This window comes from Homo sapiens, chromosome 10 (genome assembly GCF_000001405.40).
Source record: "Homo sapiens chromosome 10, GRCh38.p14 Primary Assembly".
NCBI classification, from domain to species: domain Eukaryota; kingdom Metazoa; phylum Chordata; class Mammalia; order Primates; family Hominidae; genus Homo; species Homo sapiens.
Window position 1 is genome coordinate 15,036,925 of NC_000010.11, and position 19,562 is coordinate 15,056,486.

Below are 19,562 nucleotides of genomic sequence, written 5' to 3' on the forward strand. Positions count from 1 at the left end.
GAAAATTAGCCAAGCATGGTGGTGCATGTCTGTAATCCCAGATACTCCGGAGGCTGAGGCAGGAGAATCGCTTGAACCTGGGAGGCAGAGGTTGCAGTGAGCCAAGATCGTGCCACAGCACTCCAGCCTGGGAGACAGAGCGAGACTGTGTCTCAAAATAAATAAATCAACAAACAAACAAACAAACAGTCTTGAAATCGGCTGGAGCAAAACTACAATTGCACATAACATTAAAAAAAAAAAGGTGCGTATTGTAAATCCGACAGTAACCACTAAAACAAGAAAACAAAGAGCTATGGCTAATAAGGCAATAGAGACATACAGAACAGTTTTTAATACTTTTATTTTTAACTTTAAAGAATTATTATCATAGAAGCCGGCTGCAGTGGCTCACGCCTATAATCCTGGCTCTTTGGGAGGCTAAGGCAGGCGGATCACCTGAGGTCAGGAGTTTGAGACCAGCCTGGCCAACATGGTGAAACCCCGTCTCTACTAAAAATACAAAAATTAGCCAGGCATGGTGGCGAGCGCCTGTAATCCCAGCTACTCAGCAGGCTAAGGCAGGAGAATCTCTTGAACCTGGAAGGCGGAGGTTGCGGTGAGCCAAGATTGCACCACTGCACGCCAGGCTGGGTGACAGAGCGAGACTCCGTATCAAAAAAAAAAGTGTAAGTCACTAGTTGTAACTGTGGAGGCTGGGCACATCACATCAGAGGCCTAACCGATAGCTAGATGGCTTCCTAGATGAAACACGACCCATTTCTTGTGAGCTATCCACAGGCAGCAGAGTGTCTGAGATGAAGGAATAGTATAGGAAATCTCATATTGCTGGTAGAACTTGCCTGAATTCTCTACGTATGGGGATGGGAGGCATTAAACTTTTACAGCCTTATCAATGTAAGCTCTGTTCTTTATGTAACTGGCAGCGACTTCAGCCAGGAATAAGAATAGCCAAGTGTTCTCTATACTGCCAACACAAAGAGCCACAGGCCAGGAACGCTGCCTGGATGAACCAGGAAAAACCCTGCTCCAGCCCTCAGGGCAGACTGCAGGTGCTTGCGAATCTTGGGCTTGGGGTTGGAGGCTGCCCAACACCCTGGGAACCCACTTCTTGCATTAGTGTGACCCAGATGCAAGACATGGAATCAAAGGAGATCACTTTGGAGTTTTAAGATTTGACCGCCCTGTTGGATTTTGGACTGGCATGGGGCCTGTAGCCCCTTTGTTTTGGCCAATTTCTCCCATTTGGAACTGCTGTATTTACCCAATGCCTGTACCCCATTGTATCTAGGAAGTAACTAACTTGCTTTTGATTTTACAGGCTGATAGGCGGAAGGGACTCACCTTGTCTCAGATAAGATGTTGGACTGTGGACTTCTGAGTTAATGCTGAAATGAGTTAAGACTTTGGGGGACTGTTAGGAAGGCATGATTGGTTTTGAAATGTGAGGACATAAGATTTGGGAGGGGTCCAGGGTGGAATAATACTGTATCCCCACCGAAATTTCATCTCGAATTGTAACTCCCACAATTCCCACGTGTTATGCGAGAAACCCAGTGAGAGGTGGTTGAATCAGGGGGATGGGTCTTTCCTGTGCTATTTTTGTGTTAGTGAATGAGTCTCATGAGATCTGACAGTTTTAAAAACGGGAGTTCCCCTGTGCAAACTCTCTCTTTGCCTGCTGCCATCCGTGTAAGATGTGACTTGCTTCTCCTTGCCTTCCACCATGATTGTGAGGCCTCCCCAGCTATGTGGCACTGTAAGTCTGTGAAACCCTTTTCCAGTATAAATTACCCAGTCTCGGGTATGTTTTTATTAGCAGCATGAAAACGGACTAACGCAGAGACATTGCAGGGGAAACAGCAGGGACGTGTTAAAACTCACTGGGAGGGCATGTGGGAGAATTGATGAAATATAGGTTCCAAGAGCATGGATCAGTCATTTGGGCTGTTAGTACCAGTACTGCCCTGAATTCTTGCAAATATATTCAGCATCTTGACTGGGAATTGCACCTCAGGCTGGGTGCAGTGGTTCACGCTTGTAATACCAGCGCTTTGGGAAGCTAAAGCAGGAGAACTGCTTGAAGTCAGGAATTCGAGACCAGCCTGGGCAACATAGAGAGACCCCCATCTCCAAAAAGAAATTTTTAGAATTAGGCAGGTGTGGTGGTGTGCACCTCTAGTCCTAGTTACTCGGGAGGCTGAGGTGGGAAGATTGCTTGAGCCTGGGAAGTTGAAGCTGCAGTGAGCTATGATAGCACCCCTGCACGCCAGTCTGAGTGACAGAGGAAGACTATGTCTCTCTAAAAAAAAAGGGAATTGCAACTCAAAGAAAAGCTAGTTTAAAAATCTCCCTAGAAGACTGCATGTGTGGCTGGGTGCCATGGCTCATGCCTGTAATCCCAGCACTTTGGGAGGCCAAGGCAGGTAGATCACCTGAGGTCAGGAGTTCGAGACCAGCCTGGCCAACACCCTGAAACCCCATCTCTACTAAAAATACAAAATTAGCTGAGTGTGGTGATGCATGCCTGTAATTCCAGCTACTTGGGAGGCTGAGGCAGGAGAATCACTTCAACCTGGGAGGCGGAGGTTGCAGTGAGCCGAGATTGTGCCACTGCACTCCAGCCTGGACAATAAGAGGAAAACTTTGCCTCAAAAAAAAAGAGAAGATTGCATTTGTAGGCGACTTTTGAGATGCTGAACTAGCACCCTTTCTCCATGATTGTATCTTTACTCATTGTAAGCATACGGACAGCTGCTGCTGGAAAGAGGCCTGTCTGTATTTTAGCTAAGAGTCCCCCAGAAGAAGGCAACATTTCAGGAGGTGGCCAACAGCAAGACTGTGCAGTCGTCAGTTTGGAAGACAAGGCCCCACAGGGAGAAGTCTGTATCCCCTAAGAAGGGCATCACTTACGATGATTTGTTAAGCAAAACTGATCCTCATCTTATGAGGAATCAAAAAGGTCCCCTGTGCCAAGGTAGGTACCCTTTCTGCCATCTTTAGCTCACTTTGCTTCTGAACCCCTGAACCTCACAGTTCCCACAAAAGCCTGTGCTTGGGTGGTCTTTTAGAGTGGTCTCACCTCCTAAGTCTCAGACTTTGAAATTTCACCTTTCCATTGCAGCCATCACACACTTTCCCCATGCCCCATTCCTTCTCTCCTATGGACTTACTCTTTGTCCCCATGACAACTTCCAGTCCTGGGGCCTCTTTTTCCCCAGAAAGTGGAGCCCTCTCCTGCTGTCCCTTTGTCACTCCCCAGTCATAATCCCATTACACCCTTTCTCTTTATGGGGCACCCTCAATTCTCTTTCCCCTTTGGTTTCTGTCCTTCCAACCTGCCAGTCTCATGCTTGGGTCAACCCATCTGTTCACCATCTTTGTTTCTGAGCCTATCCTCATTGCCACAGAAGATCAAGAAAGCTGGCTGACACCAGTGGTGAAAGATACAGATTTCAGTCACAGCTATTGGCAACTGTGGATTTAGCCTTTCCAGTTGCTCCCACTATTGACCATTCCAACTTTATCCTAATCACCAGTCATCCCATAATTGTCCAATGATCTCTCCTACATTCCTGGGAAAAGAGGCCATCTGTCTAAACTCTAACCTCCTCTGCTTCAGCCTCAAAATATCTCTGCAGCATCACCCCTTCCTTCCTTCCCTTCCCCACTTCCCTTTCCCCCGTCCTAGATGAACAAGTTTCATCATGCCTTTTTAGCAATAACCGCTACCCCGTTTTCTACTCCTATTCATTCATTTATTGTTCATTCCACATGATAGGAATTCCTTGTTCATTCTTGCATGGTAGGAAGCAAGGAGGATGCAACTGTGAACAAAACCACCAAAGCCTCCATACTCAAAGAGCTTACTGTCTAGCAGTACAGAAAATCAGTGATGATTACAAGAATCCTCTTTCTACTCTAGGACTTTGCTCCATCTCAAAGGGATGGTCTCAAACCATCCCTTTCTCTCTTTTTAATTTTCCTCAATCCTGCCTCCCTCTTAAGCACTGTCTCCCTACCTCAACCATCAGATTACTCATCTGATCAGTTTACCTGGCCATCTCACTCTACTCCCATGAGGCTCCTAAGGCTTCTCTCTTGAAGACAGTGAACAATGTTGGTGCTCAGTCCAAATGCCCTATTGACTAGAGTGGGTGCAGCCCAATTTCAGCAGCAAACCCCAGAGGGGCTCCCAGGCTACTGTGCTTTTCCCACAGGCAAAGAGAAGTACCCGAAGCTTCTCTTTCCTGGATTAGAATTATCCCATTATCACCAGCACGATAGGATACTTTCAGTTCTTGTCTTCTTTGATCTCTTAGAGGCATTCCACACCTTTTTTTATTTTTATTTTTATTTTTATTTTTTTTGAGACAGAGTTTTCGCTCTTGTGGCCCAGGCTGGAGTGCAATGGTGCGATCTTGGCTCACTGCAACCTCTGCCTCCCAGGTCCAAGCGATTCTCCTGCCTCAGCCTCCTGAGTAACTGGGATTACAGGCATGTGCCTCCACGCCTGCCTAATTTCATATTTTTAGTAGAGACGGGGTTTCTCCATGTTGGTCAGGCTGGTCTCAAACTCCTGACCTCAGGTGATCCGCCTGCCTCGGCCTCCCAAAGTGCTAGGATTACAGGCGTGAGCCACCATACCCAGCCATTTTTTTTTTCTTTTGGGACGGAGTTTCACTCTGTTGCCCAGGCTGGAGTGCAGTGGCTTGATCTCGGCTCACTGCAAACTCCACCTCCTTGGTTCAAGTGATTCTCTTGCCTCAGCCTCCTGTGTAGCTGGGATTACAGGCGTGCACCATGACATCTGGCTGATTTCTGTATTTTTAGTAGAGACGGGGTTTCACCATGTTGGCCAGGCTGATCTCAAACTCCTGACCTCAGGTGGTCCAACCCACCTCGGCCTACCAAAGTGCTGGGATTCCAGGTGTGAGCTACCGCAACTGGCCCACACCTTTGACCCGTTGGCATCCTCTGGGCTCTTCCTGAGAGGCCCAGTTACGTCTTTGTCCTCCTATTTCCCTGGCATCTCCATCTAACTTTTCTGTCAGCTTCTCTTTTTCTGCTTGGTGTTTAAATGCTAGTGATTCTCAGGACTCTATCCTACACTCTTCACCTGCAAACCACTGACTTTCAGTGCATCGGTAATTGAGTTTGAGGAGAGTATGCACAACTCCCAACCCCTGAATGGTACCAGGCACAAATACAACAAATACACATGGTATTTTTCTTTTTTCTTTTGAGACAGAGTTTTGCTCTTTTTGCCCAGGCTGGAGTGCAATGACGTGATCTCGGCTCACTGCAACCTTCACCTCCCCGGTTCAAGCGATTCTCCTGCCTCAGCCTCCCAAGTAGCTGGGATTACAGGCACCCGCCATCACGCCCAGCTAATTTTTTGTATTTTTAGTAGAGACAGGGTTTCACTATGTTAGCCAGGCTGGTCTGGAACTCCTGACCTCAGGCAATCCACCTGTCTTGGCCTCCTGAAGTGCTAGGATTATAGGTGTGAGCCAGCGTGCCCAGCCCATGAGATGTTTTAATACAGGCATGCAATGTAATGTCACGGAGAATGGGGTATCCACCCTCTCAAACATTTATCCTTTGTGTTACAGACAATCCAATTATACTCTTCTAGTCATTTTAGAATGTACAATTAAGTTATTATTGACTACAGTCACTCTGTTGTGCTATAAAATAGTTGGACATCATACTTGCTTCCTCCCTCTCCCACAGTCTCCATATCTAAGAAATTATCAATTCCTACTGGTTTCATGGTCAAAGTGGCTGAAGAACCCAAGCCTTCTTTTCATCCTTAGCTCCTCCACATTAGCACAAAGGCAGAATGCATTAGGGGTGAAAAGCATAGTTTCTGGAACCAGACTACTTGGATTTGCCCTCTGGTCTGTTTCCTACCCACGTGTCTTTTTTTTTTTTTTTTTTTTTTTTTTGAGATGGAGGAGTCTCGCTCTGTCGCCCAGGCTGGAGTGCAGTGGCGTGATCTCCGCTCACTGCAAGCTCCGCCTCCCGGGTTCACACCATTCTCCTGGCTCAGCCTCCCGAGTAGCTGGGACTACAGGCGCCCGCCACCACACCCAGCTAATTTTTTGTATTTTTAGTAGAGATGGGGTTTCACCATGTTAGCCAGGGTGGTCTCAGTCTCCTGACCTTGTGATCCACCCGCCTTGGCCTCCCAAAGTGCTGGGATTACAGGTGTGAGCCACCGCGTCCAGCCATCCACGTGTCTTTTAGTCAGTTACTTAACCTCTCTGTGCCTTAGCTTTTTTTAATCTTCAAAATAGGGGACATAATACCTTAATTATTCTTGTGAATAATGCCTACATGATTGAAAACACGAAAAGTCTTAATAGGTATTGAAAGCTTAGAAGGGTGCTTGGTCCTTAGTGTTATGTGTTTGCTAATATTATAAGGCCAGGTATCACTCTTTATCATCTAGATGTCTAAAACAGCCTCTTAACTTGATTTTACTGTCTAGTCAGTAATTCTGAAAGTCAATTCACCTTTTTCCACCTTCCAGTGGATTCTCTTCTTCTTTTTTTTTTTTTTTTTCAGACAGAGTTTTGCTTTTGTTGCCCTGGAGTGCAGTGGCGTGATCTCAGGCTCACTGCAACCTCTGCCTCCTGGGTTCAAGTGATTCTCCTGCCTCAGCCTCCTCAGTAGCAGGTGCCTACCACCATGCCCAGCTAATTTTTTGTATTTTTTAGTAGAGGTGGAGTTTCACCATGTTGGCCAGGCCCATCTCAAACTCTAGACCTCAGGTGATCCGCCCACTTTAGCCTCCCAAAGTGCTGGGATTACTGGTGTGAGCCACTGCACCAGCCTTGCCTTCCAGTTTAGTTAACTTCTTTTATTTTCCTAATAGATGGTACATTGTGTCTCCTCTGGGCCACAGCCCATGTCATTCTTCCTGCTTTGTTGTTTTCATTGTTCTTTCATAATGTTCTGAGATTACCTCATTTCCTGTGTCCTCTCTTTCTTTGGCAATCCAAAGAAAGTCATCTTTCAGATTGTCTGCTCAGAGTTCATCTCAAAGCCTGGCAAGTGAGTATCTTATATTTTAAATTATCTAAAAATCATAGAGTAATACCTTCTCAGATATGTCTCATATGCACAGCCTATAGTTGGATTATCTTTTAATCTAATCTGCGAATATTGCTTTGTAACTAGAGAATTTAGTCTGTTTATATATAATATAATCACTGGTATCTGGGGCTTAATCTGTCATCTTGTATTCAATTTTTATTTGTTTTACCTGTTCTATGTTTCTTTCCCTTGCCTTTTCTCAGTTCTCTTTTTGATTAAATAAACATTTTTCTCTTCCAGTTTGGATGATTTACAGTCTGTTTCTATTCTTCTAAGGGCTAGCCTGAGAAATTAAGGCATGCATATTTATACAGTCTAAATTTAGTAAAACCTCACAGATAATGTAAGGAACTTTGTTTGCCTGTGCCTGGCTTTGACATTATTTTTGCCTTGTATTTTAATTTTATATATATATATTTTTTTCTTTCTTTTTTTTTAAATTTTGAGATAGAGTTTTTCCCTGTCACCCAGGCTGGAGTACAATGGTGCAATCTCGGCTCACTACTGTCTTTTTCATTCCTCCTTGCATCTCCTATCTTCCATCTGGGATCATTTACTTTCTGCTCAAAGTATATCCTTTAACGTTTCTTTAAAAATTGTCTCCTGGTGACAAACTTAGTTTTTACTTGTCTGAAAATGTCTTTATGTTGCCCTGTTTCCTAAAAGCTGTTTTTACTGGGTATAGAATTCTAATTTGGCAGTTCTTGTCTCTTAGTACTTGAAGATATCATTCTATTCTCTTCCATGTTTTTGCATTGCTGTGAGTCCATCCCCACCTCTCCTCACCTCCTGGCTCCTTTTAATAGTTTTCTTCTGTGTTTCTTGGTTTTGCAGTTTCATTGTAATGCATCTCTATAAAGATTGCTTTTTTTGTAATCTATTCTGCTGGACATTTGCTGGGCATGTTTTATCTTTGGACTAGTACTATGCATCAGTTCCACAAAAATCTAAGCCATTATCTCTGGAGTATTGTCTCTGTCCCACTCTCCCTCTTCTCTCGTCTGGTACTTCAATCAAATGAAAGCATCTAGAGGTTTCAATCAAATGAAAGCATCTTGAGGAGAGAGTCACTGTTATTCTTACCGGAGGATGCCTCCAGTGTTGAAAACAAAACCCAGGACATTTTACTCAACTTGGAAAATATTTCTTGAGTAAACTTGGACAGTGGTTAAATGTTTAATCTTCCCAGGTATGATTGATCACAGACCGTGCTAAGTCAAAAAATAATACAAAACAAGGTTTTTATGTACTTCAATTAGAAGGAGTTGGAGTAATTCAACCTAATTTTATGAAAACTTTGTAATGCTCCATAACAACTTTTAATTGTCAACACCAAAAAAATTTGTATCCCAGCTCTGACTGCCTATTTTTCTTGGAAGAACTTGCTCTCTTTTTCTGCCTTTCATATCATTACCTAAGAAGGAACTATTTCCAGGTAAAGTCAGAGAAATCCTCATGAGTCATTCAGGTGATTTTTTTCTGAGAGTTGATGGTGGCTCTGGCCCAGAATTACTAAGAAAAGGCTCTAAGAAACAAACAGATGGGCTCCCCACCCTCTGTAAACTTTCTTCCTCTATTTAGGCACATCTTTCTGTTCCTAAAAATGCCCTCCACTGCATGACAAAAGCTTTAAGCTGAGGGATTCACCTGAGCTCCCTGGAACTGTGTTGAAAGTCACAACTGAGCTTGACAAGTTAACCGTGGCCTTAAAATGAATACTTGGGATCCAAGGAGCTCCTAGGAAGTCAGAAGATAAAGACCTTTATAAATGACAGATCTGTACTTGAGGTCAGGAGTTCAAGACCAGCCTGGCCAACATGGTGAAACCCCCGTCTCTACTAAAAATACAAAAATTAGCCAAGCCTGGTGGCGGGTGCCTGTAATTCCAGCTACTTGGGAGGCTAAGGCACAGGAATTGCCTGAACCTGGGAGGTAGAGGTTGCAGTGAGCCAAGGTCGTGCCACCACACTCCAGCCTGGGCGATAGAGCGAGATTCAGTCTCAAAGAAATGAATAAATAAATAAATGTCAGATCTGGCCGGGTGTGGTGGCTCACGCCTATAATCCCAGCACTTTGGGAGGCTGACGTGGGTGGATCACTTGAGGTCAGGAGTTTGAGACCAGCCTGGGCAACATGGCGAAACCCTGTCTTTACTAAAAATACAAAAGTTATCTGGGCGCAGTGGTGGGCACCTATAATCCCAGCTACTTGGGAGGCTGAGGCAGGACAATCATTTGAACTTGAGCCACTGCACTCCAGCCTGGGCAACAGAGTGAGACTCCGTCTCAAAAAAATATAAATAAATAAATAAATAAATAAATAAATGACAGTTCTTTCAGTAGTTATTTTTCTTCTCTTTTCTGAATACTTGAAGATTGCAAAATGGGAAGTTTGGCACAGCAGTGAAGCCTTTTTTTAGAATCCCTCTTTCTTGAGATTTATTTTATTTTACTTTTTGAGATGGAGTCTCACTCTGTCACCCAGGCTGGAGTGCAGTGGCGCGATCTCAGCTCACTGCAGACTTCATCTCCCGGGTTCAAGCGATTCTCCTGCCTCAGCCTCCCAACTAGCTGGGATTACAGCCATGGGCCACATATCCGGCTAATTTTTATATTTTTAGTAGAGATGGGGGTTTCACCGTGTTGGCCAGGCTGGTCTTGAACTCCTGACCTCAAGTACTGGGATGAGCCGCCACGCCCAGCCACTTTCTTGAGATTTAAAAGAGCACAACTTTACAAACACTTAGAAAGCTAAGACATCTCTGTTGCCAAAACAAACATCCCTCACCCTTACCCTAATTTTCTAGTATGTATGGAATGTTTTCTGTTCTTTTAGGAGCAGGCTTGTTTCATGGCTAGAGTCTGGAAATGTTGCATCTTTGTCTGTCTGTATATACGTGAGCAGTCCTGTTAATGGAAGCACTTACTGCTAATTGGATATGAATGGGGTGGGATGGGGGTGGTGACTCCTTATCTGAATAACATCAGTTGTGTTGGTTCTAACCCATTTCTTCTTCTCCTTTGTCATCACCACTGTCATTTTTTTCTCTTCTCTGTCTTCTCCTTCCTTTTCCTCTGACCTTCTTTATTTTTAACAGGGATTGGAGAGGTCAATAAGAGTCAGCGCCTTTAAAAAGAAATCTACTCACTCTTCTGTGTGCATAAGGCCGAGCAGAGGTTCTTCGTCTCAAGAGGAACTGACTTCTGTTGAGCACTCAACACGCCACAGAGACCAGCCATCTTGCAACCTCACCTCACAGCATGGAGAGAGGAGACCAACCTAAGAGAACCAGGCAGGCCACCCCTTGTGCCACCAGGCTCTTCCTCCATCCCAGGGGCTCCGATACCCTGCCTTTGTACGGCTCCCTTTTTAGTTTGAAAGAGGTTTCTCAGCCAGGTGCTCACACTTGTAATCCCAGCACTTTGGGAGCCTGAGGCAGGTGAATTACCTGAGGTCAGGAGTTCAAGACCAGCCTGGCCGACATGGCAAAACCCTGTCTCTACTAAAAATACCAAAAATTCACCGGGTATGGTGGTGCACCCTCAGGGTGGTGGTAATCCCAGCCACTCGGGAGGGTGAGGCAGGAGAATTGCTGAAACCTGGGAGGTGCAGGTTGCAGTGAGACGAGATCGCGCCACTGCACTCCAGCCTGGTTGACAGCAAGAATCCATCTCAAAAAAAATAAAAATTAGTCTTTTTTGCCTTTATCTTTAAACTAGTAATTATTAACATAAGTGCCCAAGTAAAAAGCAGTGAGTTTTTCTCCAGAAATTATCCACCCCCCCAAAAAAAGTTTTCGTTTGTGCCTAGGTTCATAGAAAATCTCTCATTTTATGAGTGTTCTGAATTATTTTGTTATGAAGAACAAAGTACCCTTTACAGAACACAAGTTAACCTGAAAAGATATCAGTTGGTGTTAGTTTTGGATGTTTGTAGAGATCAACTGAAAAAACGAGAGGGGTATAACAGATTGCATCATTATACTAGGGTTTAGAACCTCATATTTGGGAATATTATATATCTTTGTAAGGAATTTAAGGATCAATTTGGAAACTTTATAGAAATTGTTTAAATTGTGGTCACAAATGTGTACAGATAGGATGACTTTTTCAAAAAGAACTTTTCCTAATATCACCTGATTGGGTACTTGGATCTTGGGATAAAATTCCGGTGACATTATAAGTAGATTTGTTTGTTTGCTTGTTTTGAGACAGAGTCTCACTCTGTCACCCAGGCTGGAGAGCGGTGGTGCGATCTCGGCTCACTGCAACCCCCCCCTCCTGGGTTCAAGTAATCCTCCTGCCTCAGCCTCCCGAGTAGCTGGGATTACAGGTGCCCACCACCACACCCAGCTAATTTTTGTATTATTAGTAGAGACAGGGCTTCGCCATGTTGGCCAGGCTGGTCTCGAACTCCTCACCTCTAGTGATCTGCCTCCCTTGGCTTCCCAAAGTGCTGGGCTTACAGGCATGAGCCACTGAGCCCAGTCTATAAGTAAATTTAAAAAGCACTGTTTATCAAACATTCAGAAGGAAGTCAAAATTATATGCTCTATAAAACTTACATATAACTTGAAAAGTGGCTCTGGAGATCATGAAGATACCAAGATTGAAGCTGCCCATGAACGGTTTGGATAAAATTATTCTCCAAATTGTGAAAAAGGCAATTTCTGAATTAACATTTATGTCACTTTAAGTGTGCATATAAAATGCACTTACTGAATGTTATATATAGGTATTTGACTATTTCACCTACATCCCTGAAAGTTTATTTAATTTAAAAATTAGAGACAAGGGCTGGGTGTGGCTTATTTTTGTAATCCCAGCACTTTGGGAGGCCGAGGCGGGCGGATCACCTGAGGTTGGGAGGTTGAGACCAGCCTGACCAACATGGAGAAACCCCGTCTCTACTAAAACATAAAAAAATTAGCTTGACATGGTGGCACTTGCCTGTAATCTCAACTACATGGGAGGCTGACGCAGGAGAATCACTTGAACCTGGAAGGTGGAGGTTGCTGTGAGCCGACATTACGCCGCTACATTCCAGCCTGGGCAACAAAGTGAGACTATGTCTTTTTTTTTTTTTTTTTTTTGGAGACTATGTCTCCAAAAAAAAAAAAATTAGAGGCAAGATGTCACTCTGTCACTGAGACTGGAATTCAGTGGTGCAGTCATAGCTCTCTGCACCCTCAAACTCTTAGGCTCCAGAGATCCTCCTGCCTCTGCCTCCCAAGTAGCTAGGATCATAGGTGTGTACCACTATGCCAACCTAACTTTTAAATTTTTTGTTGACATGAGGTCTCACTATGTTGTCCAGACTAGCTTCAAACTCCTGGTTGCAAGTGATCCTCCTCCTTGGCCTCCCAAATTGCTAGGATTACAGGCATGAGCTACCATGCCTAGTCCTAAAAATCTATGTATTCAAATTGTCAACACAGACTGTAAAAATCTTTTTTGCCCTTTCTTATTGGAAAAATTTGCAATCACTTTATATATGAACATATGTTTCTTATAATTAATAAAGATTTCCATTAAAACACAGGTAATTCAGTATAGGGAACTTAATTGATATACATAATGTTAAATATATTTGAATTTTCTCCCTAGGAATGAAAACATTTTCAACTGCTTATACAAAAACCCTGAGGCAACTTTTAAGCTGATTTGCTTTCCCTGGATGGGAGGTGGCTCCACTCATTTTGCCAAATGGGGCCAAGATACTCATGATTTGCTGGAAGGTATGTTAATTTTTAACATCATTTAAGCAATTTAAAAGGGCAGATGACATAAATGTATTAGAATTTGAAGTTTGGTCAAGACTTTCCTTCCTGGTAGGTAATTGATAATAAACTTTCAAGATTATGCTTCAATAGGGTGACTTTTATGTTTCTAAAGTAACTTTCTCTTTACTTTGTTTTTATCGTTAGAGCTAGAAGGACCTTTTAGGAGATGACGTTCTAATACTGCATTTGTCTTTGGTATAATTATTGATATGGTTGAACTGAATCTACCATCTTGCAATTGTTTCCAATTTGTCCCATGATGTGTTCTATTTTCCCTTTTCTGCTTTTCTTTCGAATTAATACAGAGTCTAAAAGACTGCTATAAATCCAGGCGCAGTGGCGCACGCTTGTAATACCAGCACTTTGGGAGGCTGAGGCAGGAGGATTGCTTGAGGCCAGGAGTTCAAGACCAGTCTGGGCAACACAGTGAGACCCCATCTCTATAATAATAATTATTTATTTATTTATTGTTTTTGAGTCAGAGTCTTGCTCTGTCACCCAGGCTGGAGTGCAGTGGTGCAATCTCGGCTCACTGCAATCTCCACCTCCCGGGTTCAGGTGACGCTTGTGCCTCAGCCTCCGAAGTAGCTGCACTTACAGGCATGTGCCACCATGCCCAGCTAATTTTTGCATTTTTAGTAGAGACAGTGTTTCACCATGTTGGCCAGGCTGGTCTCAAACTCCTGACCTCAGGTGATCCACCCACCTTGGCCTCCCAAAGTGCTAGGATTTTTTTTTTTTTTTTTTTTGAGACGGAGTCTGGCTCTGTCGCCCAGGCTGGAGTGCAGTAGCTTGATGTTGGCTCACTCCAAGCTCCGCTTCCGGGTTCACACCATTCTCCTGCCTCAGCCTCCCAAGTAGCTGGAACTACAGGCGCCTGCCACAGCGCCCAGCTAATTTTTTTGTATTTTTAGTAGAGACAGGGTTTCACTGTGTTAGCCAGGATGGTCTCAATCTCCTGACCTTGTGATCCGCCCGCCTCGGCCTCCCAAAGTGCTCGGATTACAGGCGTGAGCCACCGCGCCTGGCCCCAAAGTGCTAGGATTACAGATGTGAGCCACTGCAGCCGGCCTCTATAATAATAATATTTAAAGTCAAAAATAAAAGTATTAACTATTCTGTATGTCTCTATTGCCTTATTAGCCATAGTTTTTTGTTTTCTTGTTTTTGTGGATGCTGTCAGATTTACAATATGCACTTTTTTATTTAATGTTATGTGCAATTGTAAATCTGGCTGATTTCAAGACTGTTTATTATTATTATTATTATTTTTTTTTTTTTTTGAGATGGAGTCTTGCTCTGTCTCCCAGGCTGGAGTGCGGTGGCATGATCTTGGCTCACTGCAACCTCTGCCTCCCAGGTTCAAGCGATTCTCCTGCCTCAGCCTCCCAAGTATCTGGGATTACAGGCACACGCCACCAGGCCCAGCTAATTTTCGTATTTTTAGTAGAGACGAGGTTTCATAGTCTTTACTAAATTCACATTGTTAACAATCAGAATTCTTAACAATTCTGATTGGTTAAAGTATATAGCATAAAAAGTTAACAAGTATGTAGGCATCTTAAGGTCTGGAGAGCCATGACTGATTTAATCCCGTCTCTGTGCTTCATCTGAGAGGGATTAGCCATCTGATCTAATGGCTGCAAGCCTTGCAGGTGAGTGTTCAGCTTTAATTCAGAAGCTTGTTTTTATTACACATCTGTCCAACCTGTCGACATCTTGGGCAATTTTTGAAGATTTTTCTTTCAGATTTTCCCTCTTCTGACAGTATCCTTAGAGACACACCTATTATCTGTATGAAATCAATGAACTTACTGTATTTTTTTCTTCCTTCTCCTCTAAAAAAACGGTTGTATTATTTTTACTCTATCAGAGCATATAACATCATCCCTAATTTTTTTTTTTTAGTCTTAGAACCACAATAAAGTCTTCAAAACTCACCGCCAGTCGTTTTGCCAAACTTTCCCTAATCATGTATTCTTTGGATGAAGTTTGTCTTCTAGTACAAGGATGGTGAGCTTTTTCTGTAAACGGCCCAATAGTAAATATTTGCACATTTGTGGGATATACAGTGCTTGTTGCAACTCTTCAGCTTTGCCATTGTCTCACAAAAGCAAGCACAGACAATGCATACAAAATGAGCATGGCTGTGTCCCAGTAAAACTTTATGTACCAGAATATGTGGCTGCAGGCTGGGCATGGTGGCTCACGCCTGTAATCCTGGCACTTTGGGAGGCTGAGGTGGGCAGATTATTTGAGGTCAGGAGTTCAAGACTAGCTTGACCAACATGGTGAACCCTGTCTCTACTAAAAATACAGAAAATTAACTGAGCGTAGTAGTGCACGCCTATAATCCCAGCTACTCGGGAGGCTGAGGCAGAAGAACCGCTTGAACCTGGGAGGCGGAGATTGCTGCGAGCCGAGATCATGCCACTGCACTCCAGCCTGGGCCACAGAGTGAGACTCTGCCTAAAAAAAATAAATAAAAACAATGTGGCTGCTGGCTTTGACCCATGGGTTATAGTTGTTTGCTGTTTTAGTAGATTCTTCAGGCAGACTCATGATTCCAATATATGCTAAGTTCCTCCATCTCTAAGACTGCTTTGATACTGGCAATACTTTCTTTTTAAGAAAATTTTTTTTGTAGAGACAGAGTCTTGCTTTGTTGCCCAGGCTGGTCTCAAACTCCTAGCCTGAAGCAATCCCTCCACCTTGGCCTCCCAAAGTGCTGGGATTACAGGTGTAAACTACAGTATCTGGCCAGGAGATAAATTACTGATGTGTATACTTCTTTGAGTTTCTTTAACAACTTGTTTTACTGTTTGTTGTCTTGCTTCAGATTTTGTTATCAAAGAGTCTGATATCATCCTGATTTGCTTCTTTTATAAATGACTTGGTAATTTGTTTGGAGGGCTTTTCTTTTTTTTTTTTTTTTGGTGACAGAGTCTCACTCTGTCACCCAGGCCCCAGGCCCCAGGCCGGAGTGCAGTGGCGTGATCTCGGCTCACTGCAGCCTCTGCCTCCCGGGTTCAAGTGATCCTCCTGCCTCAGCCTCCTGAGTAGTTGGGAATACAGGCATGCACCACCATGGCTGGCTAATTTTGTATTTTAGTAGAGACGGGGGTTCACCATGTTGGCCAGGCTGGTCTCGAACTCCTGACCTCAAGTGATCCACCTGCCTCGGCCTCCTAAAGTGCTGGGATTACAGGTGTGAGCCACTGTGTCTGGCCACAAATCCTCAAATTCTAACATTTTAATGCAACTACTATGGGTCAAGTTTCTCAAGCATATGATAGGCTCTTTTAATATGTCATTTTCTTTCTTATTTTATTTCAGGGAATGTTACAGTAGGTAGTTAGACATAAACAAGGCAGGAGAGGCCCCTCCACCCCCAGCCAGGAATGTCAAGTGACTATCAGGTGATGGTCAGGCAGTTGTTAAACCATCTATCTAAAATAATAATTAGTCACCGCCGGTTCCAGGGAAAGGCAGTCCCCCAATAGCTACAACACACTGAAAGTTGGCAATCAGCAGCTTCCTGATAGGATTTCAGAAACTGGTCAAGTGGATTCACACATGCGCACTAAGAGGCAAAATGGTGGTGTTTAACTGGTCCTTCTTCCAGAAAAACTAGTAAGGGAAAAACACTTTCAGTGAGCATGCATACAACTCCAGTAAACACACTGGGCATGCAGCCCCTCCCAAGTTCTGGCAGGCCACTGTGCATGCAGAGAGCCCACCCCAAGGGAAGAATCAAGGTAGAAGGGATGCAACCCCCCGAAGCATGCCAATGTATAAAACCCCAAGTCAAAGGTCAAACAGGGCACTTGATCTCTCAAGTCATCCACTTAGCCCTCTTCCAAGTGTACTTCACACTTCACTTCCTTTTTTGTTTCTGTTCTAAGCTTTTTTTTTTTCCCTTGACACAGGGTCTTGCTCTGTTGCCCAGGCTGGAGTGTGGTGGTGCAATCACAGCTCACTGCAGCCTCAACCTCCCAGGCTCAAGCGATCCTCCCACCCCAGCCTTCCAACTAGCTGGGAACACAAGCATAAGCTACCACGCTTGGCTAATTTCTTTTTTCATATTTTTGTTGTTGTTGTTTTTGTAGAGATGGGCTTTTGCCATGTTGTCTAGGCTGGTATTGTACTCAGTCAAGGATTCACCCGCCTCAACCTCCCAAAGTGCTGGGATTATAGGCGTGAGCCACAGTGCTCAATCCTCTTAAGCATTTTTTTTTTTTTTTTTGAGATGGAGTCTCGCTCTGTCACCCAGGCTGAAGTTCAGTGGCGCAATCTCAGCTCACTGCAACCTCTGTCTCCCAGGTTCAAGCAATTCTCCTGCCTCAACTTCCTGGGTAACTGGGATTTTACAGGAGCCTGCCACCATGCCCAGTTGATTTTTGTATTTTTAGTAGAGACAGGATTTCACCATGTTGGCCAGGCTGGACTCAAACTCCTGATCTCAAGTGATCCACCCGCCTTGGCCTCCCAAAGTTCTGGGATTACAGGCATGAGCCACCCCGCCTGGCCTTTTTAAGATTTTTAATAAACTTTCACTCCTGCTCTGAAACTTGCCTCAGTCTCTCAGTCTGCCTTATGCCCCTTGGTCAAATTCTTCCTTCTACTCTACTTCCTTCTGCAAGAATTGAGGTTGTCACAGAGCCATTACGATTCGCTGCTGCTAACAGGAGTTTGCATGAATTAAATATTGATTATTTTCCAGTGTTTTATTTTGTTTAGTTTTCTTGAGGCTCTCCATGTGTCCCTATGCTGGAACCTTTTCTGCCTTCTATGACTACTACTTTGTTTTGTAATGTTTTCCCTTCCATGACTACTACTTTGTTTTGTAATGTTTTCTCTGTCCCGCTTTTGTTTCCTAGCTCTTTTGCTTGTACTCCATATCTAATTCAATACAGCACTTTGCATCCACTGTGTTGTGGGCAACTTTTAGTCATTTTTGAAATAATTTTTGTCTTTTTAATCCATTTCTGTCCACTATTCTGTCAGCTCTTTGTGCAATTTTTTTGGTCTATTTCTATGAAGAATTTTACATTTCTGAGTTATAGTGTTCTTTCGTTTCCACTATTTCTGGTTTAATTTCATCCAAGTTGGAGTGTTGTGCTGTTTTTTTCTGCTTTGTGAGGTGTTTTTTGTTTTGTTTTGTTTATTATTGAGACAGAGTCTCACTCTGTCACCCAGGCTAGAGTGCAGTGGTGTGATCTTGGCTCACTGCAACCTCTGCCTCCAGGGTTCAAGTGATTCTCATGTCTCAGCCTCCCAAGTAGGTGGGATTACAGGCACATGCCACCACGCCCGGCTAATTTTTATATTTTTTAGTAGAGATGGGGAAAGTGTTCTCATTGCCTGAAAAACTTTGATTTATACTTTCTATATTCTGTATGATACATTTATCTTTGTTTACGACAAAGTGTGTTAGATTTTCCTGACGAGCAAGAATACGTCATTCCACTGGAGCTAAGGTTGGTTGCTGACTAGTGAAGTGCAGTTTTAAAAACCACCTCGTTTGTGTGGGTGGGGGTTCTGTAATTCTGGTTCTTTGATATTTTCATGTTTCTGTAGGACTCTTTTCTATCTCCAGCCCCATCCTTCTTTATTTTTAGCTATCAGGATTCCCAACACTATACCTGTGTATTCCTCAAACTTTCCAAGTCTCGTCCTTTCTACATGCTGGTAGCCAACACTCTGATATCAAGTCTCAAAGAAAATAATCCATTCATTGGAAGAAGAGAGCCCTGTAATTCCTAAAGGTCTTTTTAGAAATTATCAGAAATACTTTTATATGAGGGTTTTAATCAATAGCTGATGGTTCAATACATACAATTAAAGGCCACTACTTTAAACAAGTTTTCAAATAGTAGATCTATAAAAATGTATACCATAAACTTAACCGTGTCCACTGCTCCCCTTAAAGAATAAAACAGTACCAATATAATTGAAGTCTCCCTCTCCATTTATGGCCTCCTCAAACACTGACTTAAGCAAGATATAGTATAATCTCTCATATTTCTAACTTTATATACTTTTTTTTTTTTTTTGGAGACAGAGTCTCACTCTGTCCCTCAGGCTGGAGTGCAGTGGCACAATCTCTGCTCACTGAAATCTCCACCTCCTGGGTTCAAGCGATTCTCCTGCCTCAGCTTCCCAAGTATCTGGGATTATAGGCATGTACCACTATGCCCAGCTAATTTTTGTATTTTTAGTAGAGACAGGATTTCACCATGTTGGCTAGGCTGGTCTCAAACTCCTGACCTTAGGTGATCCACCTGCCTCAGCTTCCCAAAGTGCTGGGATTACAGACATTTCTCTGAAACTTGCTTTTCCCACAATCTAGTTTTTAGTATTCCATTGTGTGACTATAACACAATTTATGTATCTATTCTGTTCTCAGGCATTAAGGTCATTTTTATTCTTTGCTATTAGTATAAACAGGGCTTCTATGAGCATCTTATACATGTCTTCTTATATACATGTACGAGAGAGTCTACATCTAGGAATGGAATTTCTGGGTGGTAGAGTATGAACATCTTCAACTACAAGAAATATTGTCAAATTGTTCTCCAAAGGAATTATAATAATTTATACTACCAAGCAGTATAGGAAAATTCTTATTGCTCTATATTGTTGACAATACCGTTGTAATTTTTTGCTCTGTGCA

At 43.3% G+C, this 19,562-nt stretch overlaps 1 protein-coding gene and 1 long non-coding RNA gene across 6 annotated transcripts in view, besides 2 other annotated features; one reads left to right on the forward strand and one right to left on the reverse strand.

Moving 5' to 3' along the window:
* ACBD7-DCLRE1CP1 (ACBD7-DCLRE1CP1 readthrough) overlaps positions 1 to 19,562 on the reverse strand; it is a 73,705-nt gene that overhangs the window by 21,853 nt on the left and 32,290 nt on the right. The window lies entirely within an intron of this gene.
* The window catches only part of OLAH (oleoyl-ACP hydrolase), a 41,659-nt gene that overhangs the window by 4,730 nt on the left and 17,367 nt on the right, over positions 1 to 19,562 (forward strand). For 2 of the 5 annotated variants that reach the window (NM_018324.3, NM_001039702.3), the window contains exons 1-3: positions 7,019 to 7,062; positions 10,202 to 10,396; positions 12,711 to 12,841. In NM_018324.3, coding sequence (NP_060794.1) covers positions 10,365 to 10,396; positions 12,711 to 12,841 — 163 coding nt within the window. In that variant the 5' untranslated portion in view covers positions 7,019 to 7,062; positions 10,202 to 10,364. Of the gene's footprint in view, positions 1 to 7,018; positions 7,063 to 9,943; positions 10,001 to 10,201; positions 10,397 to 12,710; positions 12,842 to 19,562 lie in introns of those variants that run through there. The other 3 variants (XM_047425423.1, XM_024448060.2, XM_017016376.3) reach the window with 2 other exon arrangements.
* Positions 8,661 to 8,850: an enhancer, noted in NCBI's record as "active region_3089". NCBI's record gives its function as "activates an Ori minimal core promoter by ATAC-STARR-seq in GM12878 lymphoblastoid cells {active_cell/tissue: GM12878}" and the evidence as "EXISTENCE:reporter gene assay evidence [ECO:0000049][PMID:35858748]".
* Positions 10,122 to 10,930: an enhancer, noted in NCBI's record as "H3K27ac hESC enhancer chr10:15089045-15089853 (GRCh37/hg19 assembly coordinates)". NCBI's record gives its function as "activates a minimal SCP1, AML or CMV promoter by ChIP-STARR-seq in primed H9 embryonic stem cells {active_cell/tissue: H9 hESC(primed)}" and the evidence as "EXISTENCE:reporter gene assay evidence [ECO:0000049][PMID:30033119]".